This window comes from Homo sapiens, chromosome 21, assembly GCF_000001405.40.
Source record: "Homo sapiens chromosome 21, GRCh38.p14 Primary Assembly".
NCBI classification, from domain to species: Eukaryota; Metazoa; Chordata; class Mammalia; order Primates; family Hominidae; genus Homo; species Homo sapiens.
In genome coordinates, this window is record NC_000021.9 from 14,849,995 (window position 1) to 14,872,539 (window position 22,545).

The following is a 22,545-nucleotide window of genomic DNA, read 5'->3' on the forward strand; positions in this document are numbered from 1 at the left end:
GGCTGGTCTCGAACTCCCAACTTCAGATGATCCAACTACCTTGGCCTCCTAAAGTGCTGACATTACAGGCATGAGCCACCGCACCCAGCCACTGAACTCATTTTAAACTGGCTTCTCCTTTACAACTACAAAAAATGTGGCAACTAAGGCTACTACAAGCTTCTTAGCTGCTCCTTTCAATAAATGTGGTTCAAAATTCATATAACTTTATTTTTATTTTTGTTTAGTGATACTTGTCTTCCTGGAACTCACTTAGCTTCAATTACACAAAATCCTCCAAGTTTTCCTCTTTCTGATTTTTCTTTCTTAATCTGTTCTTCTAGTTCATTTTTCTCCTTTTCTTCATAATTCTTTCCTTGATTCCTTCCTTTTCTCAGTCTGCATATACTTTCCTTGAGTGATCTCAACCATCCTCACAGTTTTAATCTCACCTATGTCCCTAAATTTCTCTCTAACACTAGCTACTCTTCAGTCTTCCTATAAAATATTTGCAGCTGTTCCTTGATAGGTACTCCACAGGAACTTCAAGCTCCACATGTTCAAAATGGAATGTTTCTTTAAATATTGTCATCCAGCAGTAATTTCAATTATGCTCATTACCAAACAATTCCCAAGATTTGTTCATTCTAAGTCATAAATATGTCTGGAATCTGTCTTTTCCCCTCAATCCCCACCACTCTCCCTGAGCTCATGTCTTGGACAGTTATGATACTGTAAATTTTATTCTCTTGGTTCCTCAATCTTCTCCTTGAATATGTCTCTCTGTTACTAACATAAGAACAAAATAAAATCTTTTGCTTAGCTAATTCACTCAGACTTCTTCTAATCTTCTACCATGGCCACACGATTTATTCATTCATTCAAGAAATCTTTATTATAATTACTTAATATGTGTTCTTGTAAATGGCAGAGATATAATGATGAATAAATGGTGGTCACTAAACTTGTGAAATTTACAACCTAGTAGAGAGGAAAAGCAAACAAAAAAGGTTACAAAAGTGGTAGATGCTATGTATTTAGGATATATATATTCAGTACAGCAGAGGCATTAGAGAATGAGTGGACGACTTTTCTGATTCTTAGGCCCACTGATGCCACACTGGACTCTTGAAAGAACAGAATGATGAGGAAGGGAAGAGTTTTTTTTCTCATCTTTTATTTTAGGCTCAGGGGATACATGTGCAGGTTTGTTACATGGGTATAATGTGTGTCATTGGAGTTTGGTATACAAATGATTTCATCACCCAGGTAGTGAGCATAGTACCTGATAGGTAGTTTTTTTACCCTCACCATCCTCCCACCCTCAAGTAGGCCCTAGTGTCTATTGTTCTCATCTTTGTATCCATGTGTGCTCAATGTTTAGTTCCCACTTATAAGTGAGAACATGGGGTATGTGGTCTGCTGTTCTGCATTAATTTGCTTAGGATAATGGCCTCCAGCTTCATCCACGTTGCAGCAAGGACATTATTTCATATTCTTTTGTGGTTGCATAGTATTCCATTGTGTATATGTACCACATTTTCTTCATAATCCACTATTGATGGGCATCTAGGTTAATCCCATGTCTTTGCGAATGTGAATAGTGCTGGCATGAACATATGGGTGCATGTGTCTTTCTGTTAGAGCGAGTTATATTCCTTTGGGTATATACCGGAAATCGGATTGCCAGGTCAATGGTAGATCTGTGTTAAGTTCTTTGAGAAACCCGAAAAGTGAGTTTTGAAAAGCCTTGTGCTCTAGATAAACCAAATTACTTAAGATTTCTTTTATTCTCTCTCTCCTTTAATATGTCGTATAACTACACATATTGCTCCTAATTAAAATGTCTCCTCTTTCAGACACCCAATTCACTCCTTCTAAGCCATCTCAAAAGTCATCTATCATGCAGACCTTTTATGACTCTCCCAAAAACTAAATCATTCTCTTCTCTCTGATCCATAGCTTATTGGTAACTCTAATCTACACTGTAGTCATTTGCTTCCACTTCAGTTATTTAGAGGGAGGAGTTATGTGTTTTCCATCTTCGCATCCTGATTTCTGGCAAATAACAACCAGAGTCTCCATTATCATCTGTTGAATGGTTACAGCACACCAAGTGTTTGATGTACATTATCACTAATTTTCACAATAATCCTTAACTGTAAACATTATTATCATGCTTACATCTGACTAAGGGGCAGAGAGGCTGTGTTTACCTAGCTCAACACAGTTAGTAAGTGGTGAAGCTGAGTTTGAAATTTAGGTGTCAATCTCTCTCCAAAACCTATATATTCTTATTGATGAACTACAGTATCATCCTAGTCGATAGTGAAGGAATGTTGAAAGGATAAATAGATAGATTCATGAATAAATCAGTGGTTGAGTACATGATCTTCTAGAGTTGAAATAATAAAATATTAGCACAAGCTCCATACCCATTAGCTTCTTCTCATATGTGAGATAATACTGAAACCCACAAAATTTTATTGTAGTCTTGCTGCGTATATCCTAATCGTCTGTCTTGATCTGCTTATGTCTTATATAGACATATACACAAAAATAATTGCTTTTTTAAATGAAAACTTCCATAAGATTCCACCTAGTAGAACATAAAATAATACAGCTGAACATATGTAATTACATTATGTAATTATGCTATGTAATGCCACATAAGGTATTATCAATAGATTAAGTGTTTTTGTCCAGATAGAAAACAATCTGATAAATAAAATGTGATTATTGCTGTCATTAGATATACTTTAGAAAGATATTTTCACTTGTTTCAGATCTTATACCTAATATCCTAAGTTATGTTGTAACTTCATCACATGTAATGTGTGATATATAAATACCCAAATAGGAATAGATCATATTTTGGTGTCATTTGGTGTTTATCTTGCCTGGAAATCCTAGAAACCAGAAACCAGAGGGTGACAGACAATTCTCAGTTTTGTGCATTTTGTATTAACTTTCATAAGCAAGTTCTATAATTTGCAACCTCATGAAGACAACAAAAAGTTGAGGCTGATTATGTCTACTAAATAGTTACCTTGGGCATACTTCTATAGTTAATGTCCAGTGAGATTTTAGTATTAACTTACTATGGCTTCCATATTCCTCAGCATACATTAAACTATGCTGCAGTAACACATCAACCCCTAATTCCAAGGATATGGTAGGTTAAATAATGATATCTGATATGACGTGGATGTTTGTCCCCTCCAAATTTCATGTTGAAGTTTGACCCCCAGTGTTGGAGGTGGGCCTAGTGGGAGATGTTCAGGTCATGGGAGCTGATACCTCAGGAATGGCTTGGTGTTGTCTTCATGGTAGTGAATGAGTTCTCACTCTACGAGTTCACGTGATGTACTGGCTCCCTCTTTGCCTTCCACCATGACTGTAAGCTTCCTGAGGCCTCACCACAAGCCAAACAGATGCACGTGCCATGCTTGCACAACCTACAGAAACATGAACCAAATAAAACCCTTTTCTTTATAAATTACCCAGTCTCAAGTATTCCTTTATAGCAATGCAGAATGGCTTAATATAGTCTCCAATGGTGTCCATATCCTAATCTCAAGAACCTGTAACTATGTTACCTTATTTAGCAAGAGGGACTTTGCAGATTAAGTTAAGAATGTTGGAATGGGGAACTATGCTGGATTATTTGGGTGGGTCCGAGTAATCACACAGGTCCTCATAAGATGGAGGCAAGAAGGTCAGAGCGAGAGAAGAAAATGTGAAATTAGAAGTAGCAAACAGGGAGACAAGGAGAGGAAAACACAGATTTGAAGATGTTATGCTGTTAGCTTTGAAGATGTTATGCTGTTAGCTTTGAAGATGAAGGAAGGGGCCACAAGCCAAGGAATACTGGTATCCTGTAGAAGTTGCAAAAAGCAAGGAAATAGATTCTCCCCAAGAGCATCTAGTAGCACTATACAGCTTTGACAACATCTTGATTTTAGAACTTCTCAATCCCACAACTATAAGATAATAAATTTGCTTTGTTTTAAGCCACTTAGTTCACGGTAATTTGTTATAGTAACAATAGGAAACTAAGATAAAGGTCCTTAACATAAAAAAGAGTTACCACTTTAGACATGCCACATGTCCATCACTGGTCAGTGGCAGGGCTTTTCCTTATATAGTCACTTAAGAACTCAGGTAGACATAGATTCTACTATTTGAAAAGTCACTGGTCACCAGAGCAGGAAGAAGAAAGTATATGGAGAACTCAGACCCATTCTTCTATACTTCAGTCTAGATGGTAACACATGTCACTTCTGTTCATTATCAGTTGGCCAGAAAGTCATATAATCTTGCAAACTACAGAGAGTTGACAAGTGTAACCTCCTATGAGCCTGAAGGGAAAGAAGAACTGGATTTTAATCAGCACTGAATTCGACATTTTAATATCTACCTTAGCCTCATACTAGGGAGTCCATGAAAATCTTGAGAAAAGGTGGAAAGAAATGTTTCTTACCTGATGGGTCTAGATTCCTCTCTTTCATAGTTCCAGATCTGCTCTTGTGTGCCAGTGTGTGTTGAAATGACCTGCTCCTTATGTTACCAGAGCCTATGTTGTTAACTACAGAGAATTCTCAGTATCTGAAATTCTTCACATTTAGATGTCATGCAAAGAATATTAACTCTTTCTACAGCTCTAGTTATTGCAATGCAATACACAATCAATGAATTTGAAAAATTTGTTTCTCCAAAGTTGCAAATACAAATCATGCTGAGCCTTGCATCTCTTTATTTCTCAGTTTTATTGCTTTCTTTATCATATTTGATGCATACTTCAGAACAGCGGAAAGATATAACCCACTTTTTCTTTTCATAGATGACAGCAAAGTACAGGTAGGGCAAAATCTGAAAACAGCTCCCAACACAGTTGGACACCAACCCTGCTAGAGTACTCTAGAGAGGATGCTTAACCATGTCATGCAAATTTTTTGTAATTTTTTTGCATATGTACCTTACAATATTCACATTTGGCTGTAATGGCATAGTATATGTAATGAAATGTGATAGATAAGCAAAATCTTTTTAAATATTTCCATAAAAGAGAGACAATATTAAACTATTAACAACTGACCACTCTATGATACATGGACTCCTAAGACAGGCCCCATTGATCCCTGCCTCCTATATAATCTCATACCCTTGTGTGATATCTTTCCCTTGAGTATGCCCTGGACTTAATGACTTGTTTCTAATGAATTGAATGTAACAAAAGTGATGGGATGTCATTTCAGTCCTTAAGTTGCAAAAGACTGACTTTCCTCTTCCTTGCAGATTCTCTCTCTCTTGCTGTTTTTGATGAAGCAGACTGCTATGTAGAAGTGGCCAGGTGGCAAGAAACTGAGGTTAGCCTCTGGCCAACAGTCAGCAGGAAACTGAGGCCCTCTGACCAAGAGCCTGCAAGGAATTGAATTATGCCAACAACCAAGTGAGTGAGCTTGCAAGTGGATCTTTCCACAGTTGATCCTTAAAATTAGACCTCAGCCCCAGATGTCACAATGATTGTAGCCTGTGGAAGATCCTAAGCAGAAAATCCAATTAAGTTTTACCTACATTCCCAGCCCACAGAAACTGTGAGATACTCAGTATGCTGTTTTAAGTCATTTAGTTTGGGGTAATTTATTACATAGCAGCATATAATTAAGACACTAGACATTTTGTTTCTTCGGGATTTTTGTTTTTGTTTTTCTTTATTTTTTATGTTGTTCCAACATGTTTGCTTTTTCCTCTTTTAATAGGTTCAAGAATAGTGAGAAAAAGGAAAATTAAAGTGTTGGAGTAAATGGTTTTGGCAATAATAAAATGTAGATTCAATTTTTTTGATATTTAAGAATGAAATTTTGTAAGAGATATTTATTTTTAAAGGGAGCTGCTCTAGAATCTAGACATTAATATGTCCCCAAAATGTGTTTACAGATTTCTCCATTCACACACACAAAATCTAATTTCTACCTTAGTTTACAGAAATCCACCCTTTGTGTAAGGTGAGTTATACCTAACAGAAGTTTATCACTTTCTTATTAAAGAACTCTATGTCTTTGGTCTCTTCTTCCTAATGAATATCAACATTTGAGGAGAAAGATATATAATCAGGAGGGAAAAGTGATCTGAAATAAAGACTTGAATATTGTTATTAGATTTAGACTATGTTAAGATGAATTGCTCTCTCATGGAAAGACTCAATAACTTATGCCTAAGAATAATATAATAATCACAACGATAGCCATATTGTTGTTTTGAATTTGGGTAACAGAAGAACATAGATCTTTAAACTATTAGGCATATCTTTTCTGCTCAAAACAATTTCTTTACATTTTATCCCTTTAAGTCCTTTAAAGCTTATCACACAGAAAAAATAACAGTCTGGGAGAGGAAGACTAAAGAAATCAACTTTCTTCAGAGCACATATAGATTTATTGTAGCCAATTGATGACACTGCAAAACTGGCACAAAGGCAAATACTTAATAAATAAATGAAAATCAGAGTGGATCAGTTCAGTGCTGTATGTTTTGAACCGGGTCCTCAAAGGCAAGTCATCATCAGAAGAAAGAAAAATGCATTTAAGGAGCGTTAATTATTGTCTATCTCCAAGACCAAAATAAAAAAAGCTTAAAACTTTTAGACTGTTAAAAATCTACTATACTAGGATATTAAAGTATTTTAAAGAAAATGAGATTTATGCTTAATAAAAAAATTCCCATTAAACAGCAAACTATTAGAAGAGAAAATCATTCTGAATCTCTACACTTCTCAATCCAAATACAATGCCATGAGCTATAATTCAGTAAAAAGCTCTATATTTTGGATCCTGAAGCTTGACTCATAATTGAAAGGAAACCCTCCTAATTCATGATTGCTTGTCTCACGTACATTACAGAGTAACCTTTACTGTAGTTTCAAAGTTTAAGATTTTATTTACAGTAGTTTTTGCGAGGTCGTCAATTGACACAATGTAGTTGCTATTTGTGAAAGACAACAATTTGAACTGCAACTTGAAATCAATTGGAAACCAGTCCAGTCTCTAGAGGACACTTGCAATATGCTTCACGGGGCTAACCCCATTAAGCATCAAATGCAGCTACAAACTCAGCACACTAAATGAAGCTTTTCTATTGCACAAGAGAATAACTTCACATGAATGACAATTTCTGTAATGCTTAGGCTTGACAAAATCTTTAACCTTAAGTGTAATACTAATCAAAATAATTCCAGGAAATATTGTTTACACATTATCATCTGGAACTAGCTGGTAAGGATTGAGAAGTTTGTCAATAATTAGGTGCTCTGACTTTTATATAACTTATAAGTAGAGTTGTCAACTCTAAAATCTGGGGAGTTTGGTAGCTCTGTTAAGTTGGGGAAAATGTAGATCCCCAGCCTCAGTATTCTCATCTCTAATATGGGAATTCTGGAACAAATGATCCTGTATCGATACACTATTGCTGTACAACAAATTAAGCTTAATGGATGAAGATAACCACTTATTATTTTGTTTCAACTCAGGGACTGGCTCAGCAGCTCTGCTGCTCTGGGCCATGCTCACCTGCTCTCAGCTGGGCTCACTCATGCATCTGCTATCAGCTGGCTGGTTAACTGTAGTTAGTTCATCTTGATGGCATCATTGGGGAAACTCAGCTCTCTTTCACTGGACTTCTCTTATATTTCTCCAGCAAACTGGAAAGGGTGTGTTCTCGTGGCAGGGGCAGGAGTCTACAAAAGAAAGCAGAAATGCAGAAACACATTTCAGGCTTCTGCTTGCATCAGTTCCACTAAAATCCCATTGTTCTCGTCATGTAGCCAACTTAGAATAAGAATGGGGAGGTCACTACCAAAGGGCATGAAATAGAAAGGCATGAGGCATGGAAAATTAGATCCATTAGTATAATCACCTTACAATAATCTTAAAGTTGCTTTTCTGCAGATAATTGTTTGAGTATAGGTTTTTTAAAAGAGGCATCCAACACAAAATACTGGAAAATATACTGTGAGTGAGGAGGGAATATAAGAGAAAGAAAATCAACTACCTCTTCTCTGCCAATAAGTCTTTGTGTAATTAGATATGAAAGGCCCACACTTGAAAAAAGATCAGATATATTTTAATTAAAAGTGAGTACCTTACAACTGACTGATCTACTTTTCATGCATTTTTCTCTTAACATTTTTCTGTCAAAGTTTTTCAAAATATAATAACCAAACAAGGAAAATACAACAGATAACTATGTTTGATGAATGCCTGATTACATACATTCATTTTCACTTCTCATTCTCATTCGAGTAAGAGCAAAAGAAACATGAATGGGGAGAAAAGGGGAGTAATATAGTATTTTTAAAAAGAAAGAATATTAGGGGTTTTATTTTTACACATTTCCTTTAATGCCCATCAGAGACCCATTATAATATCGAAGGGCATCTTTTGTTCGGTGTAGTTGTACTGATAGATAATGAGGAGTAATCTGAACCAAGTACATTGCACTGTGATGTCATGCCCAGGAACTGTTTTATAAACCACTACTAGATAAAAGACCTCTTCCCTTATTGACTTCTTCTTTTAGGACTCTAGAGGAACCCTATTAAATTTCATCTTCAAATTCTGCCCATAGACAGTCTTAAAATTCAAGGTTATAAGTCATATTCTTGACCACTGGTTAAATCACCCAGTAATAAAAATGCATTTCTTCCCTGTTTTGAAGGATAACCCTGAGAACTAAGGTATGGTAAAGGACAAAGCTATGTAAGCACATATAAATCACAGTTATGTTTTTGCAGTAGGTCATGATATTTCTGCCTCCAACCCCTCTCTTCTTTTCCTCTGAGGTAGATTCTAAAACTTTGAACGAACACACTTACAGTGATGTTTATACATTTATACTTTACAAATCATTTAAAGTAATACAGTATTCAACTCTATAATTCTAATTTTCTAATAATTCCTCAATTGAGTTAAAAGCTATGACCAATTTGACTAATGCATGAAAAATTAACTGACTTATCAGAGGTCACATCAATCAACCACTCTGCCAAGACAAGAAATCTCATAGTTTGGCTGTTGAAGCATTTATTTAACTAATATCCCTAGAGGAGTCAAGCTATAGCAGACCTTTACATATTCAAAATGTCTTGAAGGCTCATCTTTTAAAAGTTGTCTTAGTCTGTATGGGCTGCTATAACAAAATGTCATAAATGGGGTAGCTTATGAGCAACAGAAATTTATTTCTCATAGTTCTGAAGGCTGGGAAATCCAAGATCAAGGCACTGACAGATTTGTTGTCTAGTGTAGGCCCACTTTCTGGCTCATCAATGACATCTTGCTATGCAGTCACACGGTGGATGGGGTAAGAAATCTCTCTCTGGCATCTTCTGGAAGAACTCTAATCCCATTTGTGAGGGTTCCTCCCCCAAGACCTAATCATTTCCCAAAGGCCCCACCTTCTAATACAATCACCTTGGGGGTGAGGATTTCAACATATTTGGACATAAATGTCAGACCATAACAAAAATCATTTTATATTCTATGTCATAACGTGACCCTGTTAAGATAGCATAAAGGCATTTGGAATTTCTAATCTTTTATTCCCAGTCCACATGTAAACTGGCACAAGAGGAATAAGCTGTAGGCTCATCCTGTGGTTTCAATAACCCATATCCCACTGCCATTTGTTCCAGCTTGGGAAACATGACCCTAAGCCAGTCTGTGCTGCACTGTTTGTATTATTCCAACAATCAAAGTTTCATTTTTTCTATATTTGTATCAGTCCATTTTCACACTGCTGATAAGGACATACCAGAGACTGGGAAGAAAAAGAGGATTAATTGGACTTACAGTTCCACATGGCTGGGAAGGCCTCAGAATCATGGTGGAAGGTGAAAGGAACCTCTTACACGGTGGTGGCAAGAGAAAATGTGAAGGAAGCAAAAGTGGAAACCCCCGATAAACCCGTCAGATCTCGTGAAACTCACTCACTATCACAAGAATAGCACAGGAAAGACCAGCCCCCATGATTCAATTACCTCCCTGTGGGTCCCTCCCACAACACGTGGGAATTCTGGGAGATATAATTCAAGTTGAGATTTGGGTGGGGACACAGGCAGACCATATCATTCTGTATCATTCTGCCCCTGGCCCCTCCAAATCTCACGTCCTCACATCTCAAAACGAATCATGCCTTCCCAGCAGTCCCCCAAAGTCTTAACTCATTTCAGCATTAACCCAGAAGTCCACAGTCCAAAGTCTCATCTGAGACAAGCAAATCCCTTCCATCTATGAGCCTGTAAAATCAAAAGCAAGCTAGTTACTTCCTAGATACAATGGGGGTACAGGTATTGGGTAAATACAGCAATTCCAAGTGAGAGAAATTGGCCAGAACAAACGGGTTACAGGGCCCCTGCTAGTCCAAAATCCAGCAGGGTAGTCAGATTTTAAAGCTTAAAAGTTACTTTTTTTGACTCCTGATCTCACATCCAGGTCATGCTGATGCAAGGGGTGGATTCCCATGGTGTTGGGCAGCTCTGCTCCTGTGTCTTTGCAGGGTACAGCCCCTCCTCCCAGCTGTTTTCATGGGCTGGTGTTTAGAGTTTGTTGCTTTTCTAGGCACATGGTGCAAGCCATCAGTAAATCTACCATTCTGGGGTCTGAAGGATGGTGGTCCTTTTCCCAGAGTTCCACTGGGCTGTGCCCTAGTAAGGACTCGGTGTGGGGGCTCCTACCCCACATTTTCCTTCCACACTGCTCTAGCAGAGGTTCTCCATGAGGGCCCCACTCCTGCAGCAAACTTTTGCCTGGGCATCCAGGCATTTCCATACATCTTCTGAAATCTAGGTGAGGGTTCCTAAACCTCAATTTTTAACTTCTGTGCACGTGCAGGCTCAACACCACATGGAAGCTGCCAAGGCTTGGGGCTTCCAACCACTGAAGCCACAGCCCGAGCTCTACATTGGCCCCTTTTCAACCATGGCTGGAGCAGTAGGAAAACAGGACACCAAGTCCCCAGGTTGCACACCTCATGGGCACCCTAGGCCTGGCCTGGCCTACAGAATCACTTTTTCCTCCTAGGCCTCTGGGCCTGTGATGAGAGGGACTGCCATGAAGGTCTCCGACATGACCTGGAGACATTTTCCTCATTATCTTGGGGATTAACATTAGGCTCCTGGCTCCTTATGCACATTTCTGCAGCTGGATTGAATTTCTCCCCAGAAAATGGGTTTTTCTTTTCTATCACATTGTCAGGCTGCAAATTTTCTGAACATTTATGCTCTACTTCCCTTATAAAACTGAATACCTTTAACAGTACCCAAGTCACCTCTTGAATGCTTTGCTGCTTAGAAATTTCTTCCATCAGATACCCTAAATCATCGTTCTTGAGTTTAAAGTTCCACAAATCCCTAGGGGAGGGGCAAAATGCCACCAGTCTGTTTGCTAAAACATAACAAGAGTCACCTTTGCTTCAGTTCCCAACAACTTCCTCATCTCCTCCTCTGAGACAGCCTCAGCCTGGACCTTATTGTCAATATCTCTATCAAGCTTTTGTTCAAAGCCATTCAACAAGTCTCTAGGAAGTTCCAAACTTTCCCACATTTTCCTGTCTTCTTCTGAGCCCTCCAAACTGTTTCAACCTCTGCCTGTTACCCAGTTCCAAAGTTGCTTCCACATTTTTGGGTATCTTCTCAGCAGTACCCCACTCTCAGTACCAATTTACTGTATTAGTCCATTTTCACACTGCTGATAAAGACATACCCAAGACTGGTAAGAAAAGGAGGTTTAATTGAATTTACAACTCCATGTGGCCGGGGAGGCCTCAGAATCATGGCAGGAGGTGAAATGCACTTCTTACATGGCAGCAGCAAGAGAAAATGAGGAAGAAGCAAAAGTGGAAACCCCTGATAAACCCATCAGATCTCGTGAGGCTTATTCACTATCATGGATAGCACGGGAAAGACCAGCTCCCATGATTCAATTACCGTCCCCTGGGTCCCTCCCACAACATGTGGGAATTCTGGGAGATACAATTCAAGTTGAGATTTGAATGGGGACACAGCCAAACCATATCAATGTTAAAACAAAATCCTAACATAATTTTTTGTCTTACATATTGAACTTGGAATTCCTGGCTTTTTATTTACTTGGAACTTCAAAAATTGTTATAGATATACCACTTTTTTTTTTCTGTCAGGACCTAATTCTTATTTTAAAAAGTTACATGATGTCAGTTTCAATTTCTCTTGAGATTTCACTTGGATAACACAGACTATCACAATTTTGCCTCTAATTCACTCTCTGGTGAATTGCTCTGCTCTATCATTAAGGTTTTGAGCCTACCTTTATAAAATGGGCACAAAAAGGAAGTAAAAATTATGGTTCTTACATTCACTTCTTATGCATGTAAGAAAGGATAGAAAGATAATTTGGAGCTATATTACAAAATGAGTCAGAATCTGCCTACTAGTTCTGGAGGTCTTTCACAAACTCTCAAATTCTTGGGAAAACACAGCACTCTTTTAAAATGTCATGTTACATGGCCATTCACTGCCTATTATACTACTACACTCAAGCCCATGATTTCAGAAAGTCCCTCTCAAAAGGAGGTTCAGAGTGCAACTAGATTTTTATAACTACCATTTAAATCATCAATATAGAATATGCTTCTTTGCTCTTAATTTACTTTTCATTTCTATTTGGTGGGGAGTTCATCATTAAAATCCTCCCTGGAAGGTTTGCAAAGATAGAACTTTGGTTGAGGATGGAGGCAGAGGCAGCACTGGCCAATCCAGACTGCAGGGATCACTTTACAGGTCTTGAGAAAAAATAGTGGTAGGAAGGGAAGTAAGCAGGAGAGAGGAATTAACTAAAGAGAAGTAAAACGTGTCTTGTTTAAACTAGTGGAAGCAATGAAAATTTAGCAGCCATTGTTTGTCTCTTTATTCCTTATTTATAAAACTAAAGAGTAAACTATATTTTTAGGTTAGGTTTTAATTTATGGGAAAGGGAAAGAAACCTAAAAGAAGCCCCCTGCTGGCCACTCTAATTTCTGCCCTATTTGCTCCTTAAAAAAAATAAAAATAAAAATATCCTTACCTTTCCTATATTTTCCTACATTTAAGACATAATTTAACCTTTTATTGTTAACTGAGATTTATCATTGTTATAAATGCAATATACAAATATAAATCTCTAAAGGCATTTCAGTAATTTGTCTTTTATGACAAGAAGAAAATCATCCTTTGAAAGATATGTATCTTGTTTTAAATTTGCATTTAAAAGTCTATCACTAGTAGATTAGTTTTGTTATTTTGCTCTTAATCTGAGCACAAAATAAGTTTGTTTTGATTATCTCAAACTCTGGGAGGTCTTTAAAATTAAATAACAAATCCGAGTTTTATTCAAAATTATTTACAACAGTCTTTTGTCTTATTCTAGAAAATTAAGGGGACTACACATAGCAAAAATCCCGAGGCTGTGTTTGTTTCACGCTGTTACTTGAATCTATGATGAAATCATTTCCTAGGCTTATTCTTTAGAAAATAAAACTCCTTAGGGCAGACTGACCCGAGTTGCACAGGAATGTAAATAAAAATGATTATTTCTCTCTTTACATAAGACAAATATTTTACTACATTGTGTACTATAATAATCTTTCTCATGGCCAACACAGAAATATTAGCATCTACCAAATATGGTTAAATCCTCAAAGCCTACTTATAAAGCAAAAGCAGCACTGGAAATTGACATCACTTACATTTAGTCACATTTTCAAAAGAGCATGATTAATGAAACAGAAGTGTTCTCATGGAGCGTGTGCACCATGTGCTAGTGACAGTTATATCAGAACGAACTACATGTAGCATTTATCTTCCTTTTGCTCTGGTATCTCCCGAGTGAAACGCTTGGGTGTGTATGAAAAGCATAGGGAGAATGACAACTCATTTGGTATTGACTTGGCCTTTGTCCCAGCTCTCTCTTACATCATCAACCCCTTCCTCATCTCTGCTGTCACTGACTTTGAGAAAGCACATGGTTCAGCCATTTGACATCCTCTCTGTAAGACCAGGGATGAGTCTGCTATGCGTAGCTCTGTTTATTAAAACCTCAATTTTAAGAAGGTTACCATTCTACATAAAACCCTTGACCTCTCAGAGTTAGTGGTATGAGCCTAAAAGTTGCCAGGACATGCTAAACTTTTCCTGAGAAAGAGTCCAGTCAACAATTTTATGACAATCCTTCTGACCTGAGCTTTGCTTAATACCATCAAATAAGTCACAGGACAGTCAGGAGATTGGAAATGTATCACTTGATGAGGTTTTTCAGATTGATAACACGAGGGTAAGCAACTGTGTCATCCAGGAGGCTCCAAAGTCCAGGGTCCATTCAGGGCCAACTACAGCAGTGCCCCTTCCTAAGTCCAGGCCATTCACACCAACCGAAGCCCAGCAGGGGGCAGCTTCCCAAAGCTAAATCTAAAAAGACCATAGCCAGCCCAGCTGAAAGTCCCAGGAAAAGGCAATGTTGCCTAACAGTCATGAGACAGCTGGAAAAGTCCCTGCACCTGACACACACTGTTACAGACAGTGCTGCCTCATAGACGTGTAGAAGGCACATCAGGGAGAGTGTCGGGGTCAGGCCAGAAACTTCACATTAAATCAGGGAGGATTTGTTTGGGGCTCACATTTAGACAGAGAACAAAGACTTCTCTGTCATTTTTGTAGTTTTGTTCATTTGTATTTGAAAATAGCAGTTCTCTCTCTGGCCTGACTGCATCCCTTTGATGGTAACTGAAGCTTTCCATTGCAGCGGTGCTCCTGACGGGGGCGACATTGAACCTGCTCAGGGCTCAGGGCTCCTCTTCCCGGCTCTGTGGCCTCCCCGAACATGAGTAACACTATGGCCTGCAAAGATAGGACTTAATTGTCCTTAAAAGGAAAAATGCCTGCATGACCAGAGTTGGACCAAGCCAGAACAGGAGCCCCTGAGAAGTGCTAGGTACATTTTTAACAGTTCCTGTTTACTTTCCATAGGAGATTATGAGAAGAACACAAGAGCACATTTATAAGTAGTTTTCATGATTCATGTTATCACTGAAACCAGATGCTATTCTGAATCAAACAACCCTGAAGTGATGTGCAATTCTAATATCTGCTTAATTAATCAAAATATTCATTAATACGTAAGAAAACACATTCTGTTTGTGTTTTAGAGTACACATTTATCACATGCTCATAAATACTTAAATACAGGAGGTATGCTTGGCAGATAAATTATTAACTTTTCAGAGATCTGCAGATTTTAGAAAGTTTTGGGGGGAAATTAAATTTTAATAAAACAGCATTTTACTTAATTACAGAAAAATCAAATAAAATTATTTTCTAGATTCTGAAAGAAAAACAAATAGATTATAAACTGTAAATGCCCTTTGTCTTATGATAACCTTGCTAGCTTTAGTAATTGTATAATATTATGAACCTTGGGAAACAGTGCAAAGCATCAAAAATCTTATATTAACATATATATTGACTCTAATAAACCTATATCTGTATTAGTGTTTAATATTGATTAAAATTGCTTATAAGTTTATATTAATAGGAAATACATCCTGATTTAGTAGGATTTTAATAACTACAATCATGTATTGCTTAACGATGGGAATATGTTCTGATAAATGCATCAGTAGGCAATTTCATCATGTGAACATCAATATCATGGTGTACTTACACAAACCTAGATGGTATAGCCTACTGCTTCTAAACTACATACCTGTACAGCATGTTACTGTATGTAGATGACTGTAACACAATGGAAAGTATTTATGCATCTCAACATAGAAAAGATACGGTAAAAATATGGTATTATAATCTTATGGAACCATCATCATATATGCAGTCTATTCACTAAAATGTCATTTTGCGTGATAAGGGCATTTACTCCAATATTGCTTTATTAGATTGGCATCCTTGCTGACTCAAGACCCTTTCCTTATGTACTGATGACCACCTATTGATTCTCAGAAAGTCTTATATTCTCACTCTTGTGCCACCCTCAGTTATTTCCCTCTGCCTTTCACAGCTAACTGTCCACTTCACACCACTAATCAACTGCTGTGAACTTGGCTTTTACCTTGATCTCAGCTCTTCCAAAAGTCACCAATCATTTCCTAAATGCAAAATATAATGACCTTTTCCCTGTGTCCATCATACTTTGTATAACATTTGATATTGTAATGAGTTGAATTGAGTCCCTCTCAAAAAAGACAAGTTGAAATCCTAACCTTCAGTATCTCAGAATGTGACCTTATTTGGACACAGAGTTGTGGCAGATGTAATTAGTGATGAAATGAGGTCATACTGGAGCAGAGTTAGCCCCTGATCCAATATTACTGGCATCCTTCTAAGAAGATGGCCATCTGAAAACATATACACAGAGAGGACACACTGTGACAATGAAGGCAGAGATTGGAATTAGGAAGTTGCAAGCCAAGGAGCATCGCAGATTGCCAGGAAACCACCAGAGGTTAAGAAGGGGGCAAGGAAGAATCTCTCAGAAACGTAAGAGAGACTGTGGCCCTGGTGATGCCTTGATTTCAGACTTCTAGCCTCCAGAACTGTGATGTGATCAATTTCTTTGATTTTAGGCAGTTTATGGTGCTTCATTATGGCAGCCCTAGGAAACTGATAGTTACTACTGACCAAGGCTTTATTCTGCACTTACCACAATTTTTTAAATGCTCTTGTCCACAGGGTTCCATACACCATATTTTTCCAGAAGCCTGGCTACAGATTTCATAGGATCACAGGATTCTTTACTGCCTCTCATCTCCTATTTCCTTTTTTTTTTCCAACAGGATTTAACTCTGTGTTGCCCAGGCTGGAGTGCAGTGGCACAGTTATAGGTTCACTGCAGCCTCTCCATCTCCTGGGCTCAAGTGATCATTTTCCCTCAGGTGCCCAAGAAGCTAGAACTACAGGCGTGCATCACCACACCCAGCTAATTTTTATTTTTTCATACAGATAAGGTCTCGCTTTGTTGCCCAGGCTTGTCTCTAACTCCTGGCCTCAAGGGATCATCCTGCCTCAGCCTACCAAAGTGTTGGAGATACAGGCATGCACCAGCATGCCCAGCCTGATATTCCTTGAAATACCTCAAGCCATCCTGTAGTATCAACTACCACAAATATGTGAGGGCTGCTCCAGTTCATATCTACATCTTGAACCTCTCTAAGTCTCCATGGGTCAACCTCCTGTGTTTTCCTGCAGCACACCAAAGTGTGCTCAAAAAAGCAAATGAAAAAGAATACAAAACAGTTGATACTCACTTGCAAAATAAAACCAGATGCAGCTTTCTTTACAAATTGAGAAAGATGTTTTTTAAGCATAATGACTAGTGTTGGCAAATGAACTTGTCCCTCTCAAATATCATGTGAGACTTTGGTTTGATACAATTTTACTGGAGAGTTATTTAGCAATGTGAATCAAGTATTTAAGAATTGTTAATTCCTTTTGACCTAGTAATTTTACTCCTTAGGAATTATCCCAAGAAAATAATCAGACCTGCACCAAAGATTTATATATGGATACATATACAAAGCACATATTTGCATATAAGGACTACACCCACAGATCCATAACCGTAAAGTCTCAAAGTTACTGACTGTTGGCTTTTAAACTTTTAAACTTTTAAACACAGATACATATCTCTGAGTCTAGTCTTTATATGCAAATATATATGTTTTATATATGTATATTTTTTGAATCATTTTATGTGGTTTATATTTATTCAATTTTTATATGCTTGGTTTAGAAGCATATAAAATGTTCACTTTTCAGAAAACATTAGGAATTGGTTATATTTTAGAAAGAAACGTAGAATATCACATTTCAATTTGGACTAGCACTTTTCAAGCGGCTGCTAACCACATGTGGATAGTGGCTATCCTATCAGCATAGAGCTACACGAAGGGCATATGACTGCTTATTTTACTATGCTTGCAATTTCTGTAGCTTTGATTTTTTTTAAATAAAATGTTGGCCAGGCACGGTGGTTATGCCTGTAATCCGAGCACTTTTGGAGGCTGAGGTGAGCTGATTACCTGAGATCAGGAGTTCGAGACCAACCTGGCCAACATGGTGAAACCCCGTCTCTACTAAAAATCCAAAAAAATTAGCCAGGCGTGGTGGCAAGTGCCTGTAATCCCAGCTACTCGGGAGGCTGAGGCAGGAGAATCACTTGAATCCGGGAGGCAGAGGTTGCAGTGAGCTGAGATCACGCCATTGCACTCCAGCCTGGGTGACAAAACCCAGACTCCTTCTCAAAAAAAAAAAGTTGGGGGAGGAAAGGCCTTTGAAAACACTTGCAATCACATTCATTCTGCTTCAGACTGTTTACTCTTCTTAATCCCTGCTAACCATGGTTAATTCACTAGCATTTTTGCTTTTCAAGCAGTGACATCCACAAGACCATATTGTGATCTTTCTATTCTTTGCATAGTTTCATGGTTCTTAGAGGAAAAAAAAAGATGTCACACATAACAAACAAACTAACCAGTAGTGACACTAAAATGAGAAAAGGGTTTTGGCATGGCTCAAAAAAGCCATGTGTATAATTTTTAAATCAGTGCTGCAATTTGTGGCCCAGCAAGTGAGACGGCATTTTGCTTCCTCCTCAAGAACCCTTTGTTCTTGTCATGAACCAGAATTTAAGCTTCTGCACTCTGTTTCTGGGAGGCAGAGTCCTCTTTGACCTGATCTGTCTCCTTTGACAAGGAGACAGATTTTAGCTTGTCCAAAAAAAGATAACCCCTGCTGCTCCTTGTTTGGAAAAAACACATTCTCCTTCCTGGGAGAGGCTGAAAGAAGAATTGACTACAAAAGAGAATGTAACAAGTCTTCATTTTCAACTCATTTCCCTTTAATTTTTATGCCAAGTACAGCCGTGCCTTGAGTGATGTGGCAACAGGCTGAATTTCCCCTTCTTTCTCAGATTGTCTCTTATTTTGACAACGGCCTCCTTTCGTTAATAAGAAGTCAATGACATGTTCCTCTGTTTTCTTAACAAAAATCTGCACTGCTTGTGGATAGGATGGTCACATAATTTCGCAGTCCACAATGCTGGGGACTAGGGGATAGGAAAAAACGTAGAGAAGCATGTTTTACCGGGAAGAAAATAGTAGCAATGCAGCTACCCTAACTTGAATGGAACAAAGCTAATACTTGTACTTCTTGTTCCTTTCAAATGCCTTTCTTGAATACCTAAGTTCTCATAGTCCTGGAGAATCTTGAGAAACAATAAAACTTTGTGATTGTTTTAGAACTTCAAAACTTCTGCACAGGATTGACTTGAAATATCAGAGAGGTTCTTGTGGAAGAGGATGTGAGGGTATCTTTTTAAGCCAGCTGTCACTACATAGCCAGACTTTTAAGATAAAATGCTAAGGAAAAAAAAAACTTATTTTAGCTCCTCAAAAGAAGGAAGGAAAAGAAAGGAAGAAATGAAGGAAGGGAGGGAGGGACAGAGAGGGAGGGAGGGTAGGGGTGAAAAAAAACACTTTGCTGCAGTTCACAAAAATTTGATTAAGTGTAATGAAAACTTTAATTTGTTGATAAAAGCACTCAGTTATTAAGTCCTTTTAACTTTACTCATATTTCCCACCATAAATATGTAACATGTATGTATATGTATTTATTTCCAAACTTGAAGTTTAAAGGCAATCTCTATACCCTCTCCATATGCATTCTTTAAAATCAAATATAACAAAATATTTATTCAGATGTTTTCTCTTCTTCAATCTTCAGTGAAGGAAAATATAATTTTCTTTCTTCAGCAGAGATTGCACAGTGGCTTTAATCAAATCAATCCATTTCACCACTAGATATAGAATATTTTCCCTAAGGGCCACAAAAAGTCGAAGTTGATTTGTCTTTGTCAAAGCAGATAAGTTGTTAAATGAAAGAAACAGTACCAGAATCCTTCCAACTAACTGAACTAGGAGAGAGGAATAAAGGAGATGAACTCTACGTGCAAACATACATATAATTTCTTTTTTCCTCATCTGTCTCTTGCTCTGTTTCCCCCAGTTCCATCTGCAATAGCAGCCATACAGCACCTAGACTGTTGAGAGATACTGAAACTTGAAAGAAAAGGGAATGTACAATGTGCAAATGCAATATCATTATTCAATAACTTTGCAAGTAATTTTATTACCTGAGACACCATGGTTTCTTTGTCTCCTTTTTCTGTGTCCCATTCTCTGCCTCTAGCTGTGGGTCTGTCTCTCTCCTACACATACATACTCACCTAGAGGGGCATACATATTAATAATGTGTGGGAATTTCTTACTTAAAGCTACTTCCTCTTCAAACCAAGAATAGCAGAATACCTGGATCCAATAAACAAATGATCTTGTCTCGACATCTAAAATAAATTATCTGGCAGAACACTGTAAATGAATACTTAATAGCAAAACTTAATAATAAGGGAACACACAAAGAAGTGCAAGAGTAGGAAGCTTTCTTGTATCACTTCCTCATGCCAAAAACAGAACTGGAAATTGTCACTCAAAAAAAAAACTTTTAAAATATAGTAGTTCAAGTTTCAAACGTGGTCCCAACAAATCAGATATACAACTGTAATCTCAGTTCTTTATTCTATACACCAACTTTAGATATCTTCCCATAAGTCTTAAAGTGATTTTTGAATACAAATATTTTTCTCCCTTCAGGCTAAGCCCTATGGGCGAGTGCAGAACTCGTACAACTGGTTCTACTACCAAACTATAAAATGTTCATTCCCTATTTTTCACATAAGAAGAAAGCAACTTTCTCCTTTTTTCTCATTCTCATTTTAGCCTGAACACCTGGCTTTTTCTGAAGCTATGCCAGGTTCAGATCAGATACTATGAGGGCAGCAATGACTACGGGTTACTGCACACACTATCTCCATGGTTTCTACTGTGAAATCCCTTTAAACTTTCTATCTGGACTATTTTCATGTGCTGTGTATGCGTGAGCACCTCTGGAGGTTATTAAGTAGTTGTTTCATCAATAAATGTTGGTGATGCTTATCTCTATATTTCTCTGGATTCTAGCATGCAAGACTTTTGAGATGACCTACTGAGATAAAGATCTAAGTGACAAGCATTAAAGAGAAAAGACACAATTTGATTGGAAAAGGCTTAAGAAAATACGGAGGTTACTTTCTGCAATACGTGTAGAGGGTAACTGTTCTCCAGTGCTTATCTTTGAACTCTTATTAATTTAGTGTTTGATTCACTATAGTGAACAAAACTGTTCTTTACCTTGAATCAAACACAAAGAATGTAGAATTCATTACCTGGCGATATCCTATCAGTTCAGAATACTCCATAAAGTCTCTACATTTGAAAAAAGGTGGGTGCAAATGTCTGGTTCTATTTTTTAATGCTTTCATTTCACTTTTATGTATGAGAAGTGTGAACATCTCTCTGTGGTACAACTCCTATCTCCATACTGTTTTCTCCACCCTTGACCTACTTCTCTTTCATTATTTTCCCATTCTAACAATTCCTCTCCCCTTCAAATATCTCATGAACAAGGCTAATTTTCAGTCTCATCACCAACCCTGGCTTGAATGCTCTTGCAGTTTTTTCTAGTAAAATCAAGTAGCCATTTATATTAATTAGGTAGGCTAAACTACTAAAGTAAATATTCCCCAAAATGTAATGGCTCAGATAAAATAGAAGCAGATTTGTCTCTAAAGTAACAGTCTAAGCTGGAGGTTCAGGTCAGTGTGTGTGTGTGTGTGTGTGTGTGTGTGTGTGTGTTTTGGGATGCTGGGGAGTTGGGATTTGGGGGAGGCTGTGCTCTACTTGGGAACCCAACCTAGAATGAGGTTAGTGCTGCCATCTTCAATACGTGGCTTCTAAGGTCTCTCTCGTCATCACTATTTCAGTCCATGGGAAGGAAAAAAGAGCTATAGGAGAGAGCATGTGAACTTTCAAAGAAAGGTGTGAATGACGGACATCACTTTTGCTCACATTTCACTGGAGCTTATTTAGTCTCATGGCCACACCTAACTGCAGAGGGAGCAGGAAAACAGTCTGTGGCTAGGCAGCTGTGTCCCAGTTGTGATTCTACCTTACTGTGGAATAAGTAGGGCACAGATCACTACCACACCCTTTAAGCACTGTTATAGTCTTAGTAAGAACATAAAGATAAAATATAGGTCCAATAATCAGTTGTCCTGGGTTCTTTGCAGAACAAACTATTCCAAGAGCTTACATTAGCCATTTCCAATGGGAACGCATTATAAAAGCCTAATGAAGTATTAGGGTACTCCTATGACCTATTATATATTTCTGTTTCACAGAGGTAGGATAAGAAATATATACGATATATATTATATAAATATATCAGAAATGTATTATATATATTTAATATATATTTCTTGATATAATATATCTATAATGTATCTAGAAATATATATTAAATATATCTAATTATTATATATTTAGATATATTTATATATTATATAAATTATATTTCTATATGTAATATTTTAAAATATATTAAATATATATTTCTTA

The 22,545-nt window shown here is 37.6% G+C and overlaps 1 long non-coding RNA gene across 1 annotated transcript in view, besides 2 other annotated features; it reads right to left on the minus strand.

The window, feature by feature from the left end:
- ASMER1 (adipocyte associated metabolic related lncRNA 1) overlaps positions 1 to 22,545 on the minus strand; it is a 101,831-nt gene that overhangs the window by 33,157 nt on the left and 46,129 nt on the right. The window contains exon 2 of the long non-coding RNA NR_146322.1: positions 7,548 to 7,714. This is a non-coding gene — a long non-coding RNA (adipocyte associated metabolic related lncRNA 1). The remainder of the gene's footprint in view (positions 1 to 7,547; positions 7,715 to 22,545) is intronic.
- Positions 14,684 to 14,733: an enhancer, noted in NCBI's record as "active region_18284". NCBI's record gives its function as "activates an Ori minimal core promoter by ATAC-STARR-seq in GM12878 lymphoblastoid cells {active_cell/tissue: GM12878}" and the evidence as "EXISTENCE:reporter gene assay evidence [ECO:0000049][PMID:35858748]".
- Positions 20,819 to 20,868: an enhancer, noted in NCBI's record as "active region_18285". NCBI's record gives its function as "activates an Ori minimal core promoter by ATAC-STARR-seq in GM12878 lymphoblastoid cells {active_cell/tissue: GM12878}" and the evidence as "EXISTENCE:reporter gene assay evidence [ECO:0000049][PMID:35858748]".